This window comes from Homo sapiens, chromosome 13 (genome assembly GCF_000001405.40).
Source record: "Homo sapiens chromosome 13, GRCh38.p14 Primary Assembly".
Classification (NCBI taxonomy): Eukaryota; Metazoa; Chordata; class Mammalia; order Primates; family Hominidae; genus Homo; species Homo sapiens.
Window position 1 is genome coordinate 95,335,013 of NC_000013.11, and position 1,998 is coordinate 95,337,010.

Sequence of the window (1,998 nt, forward strand, 5' to 3'; positions counted from 1 at the left end):
AAGTAGGAGGATCACTTGAGCCTAGGATGTTGAGACCAGCCTGGGTAACACAGTAAGGTCCTGTCTCAAAAATAAATAAATAAATGAAAACTGCACACCTCAATACCACCAACAGCATTCTCACTAGCTAATGTTAGGCTTTTTTTTTTTTTTTTGAGACTATCTCTGTCACCCAGGCTGGAGTGCAATGGCATGATCTTGGCTCACTGCAGCCTCCATCTTCCAGGTTCAAGGGATTCTCCTGCCTCAGCCTCCCCAGTAACTAGGATTATAGGTGCACACCACCACGCCCAGCTAATTTTTGTATTTTCAGTAGAGACGAGGCTTCACCATGTTGACCAGGCTGGTCTCAAACTCCTGACCTCAAATGATCTGCCTGCCTTGGCCTCCCAAAGTGCTGGGATTACAGGCGTGAGCCACCATGCCCGGCTTTTTCTCTCTTTTTTTTTTTTAGACGGGGTTTCGCTTTTATTGCCCAGGCTGGAGTGCAATGGCACAATCTCGGCTCACTGCAACCTCTGCCTCCTGGGTACAAGCGAGTCTCCTGTTTCAGCCTCCCAAGTAGCTCAGATTACAGGCATGTGCCACCACGCCCGGCTATTTTTTTTTTGTATTTAGTAGAGACAGGGTTTCACCATGTTACTCAGGCTGGTTGTGAACTCCTGACCTCAGGTGATCTACCGGCCTCAGCCTCCCAAAATGTTGGGATTACAGGCATGCGCCACCGTGCCCAGCCTGCCCGGCTATCTTAAAGGACTCAAGAAGCAAGGCCTTTCATTCCATAGTTAAAGACAGATTGAATGTGGCTACCCCTGGGAGAGGCACTACTTTGCCTTATATTAATTCACATGGATGAGTAACAAGAGTGGCATTTGTTGTTCTTGTTGGCCACCCAACCTCAAAACACCCTTAATCCATTCGGGAACTCCCGTGCTTTTGGTTCTTGGGATACTGGGGTTGCTCACCTCTGTGGGAGCTGGATACTGTCTTTTCCAGCCTTACAGCTAAGTCAGATACCTGCCCAAAGCCCATACTCTGCCAATTGGACTTACCCATGTAGGATTTTCCTTATTTTATTTTTTTTTTTTATTTTATTAAGCCAGTCAAATTTAGCAGTGGTAGGCTGTATACCAACCTTAGGGACATGAATGTTAATAAGTTCTGATAACCCACTACCATCGGACCAGTCCCACATAGGATTTTGACTCAGAAACGAGTGCTGCAAAGAGCAGTGCCTAGGTGGAATCCTTACTGGTGTGGGTGGCAGTACGATAGCCAGTTTCCAGAGGTGTGGAGGTAGAGACAAGGACCACAGGATCTGGGGGCCAGCAGCATTGCAAGGGACCATGTCTGTGTCTAGTGGCAGCAGCAAGGGAATCTTCATTAGCCGTTTGGTGGCACAGTCTTGGCTGTTTTTCCTGCAGACATAGCCTCCAATCCTGGTTATCCCTGCTTTTGGATATGTTGTGAGCAATGCAAAAGTATACATATATATATATATATATATATTTTTTTTTTTTTAGACAAAGTCTCACTCTGTCGCCCAGGCTGGAGTGCACTGGGGCAATCTCAGCTCACTGCAAACTCCACCTCCTAGGTTCAAATGATTCTCCTGCCTCAGCCTCCTAAGTAGCTGGGATTACAGGTATTCACCACCACACCTGGCTAATTTTTGTATTTTTAGTAGACATGGAGTTTCGCCATGTTGGCCAGGCTGGTCTCGAGCTCCTGGCCTCAGGGGATCTGCCTGCCTCAGCCTCCCAAAGTGCTGGCATTACAGGCGTGAGCCACGGCACCAGCCACAAAAGCCTTTAATGTTTTTCCTGCTTAAGGTAGTCAGGATTGGATTCTGTTTCTTGTAACTCTGAACTTGATTATGTGTCTCTCTCTTCTATTCGAGGTGAAAGGCAGAGCCAGATTGCCACCTGTGAAAAGACCATGCAGAACTTAGATGAGGAAGGAGAACTTCGTATCACTGATGCTATTTTACAGCTTGAT

General features: G+C 46.9%; 1 pseudogene; it reads right to left on the minus strand.

Annotated features, from left to right (window-relative positions):
- On the minus strand, positions 1,097 to 1,187 carry RNY4P27 (RNY4 pseudogene 27; annotated as a pseudogene).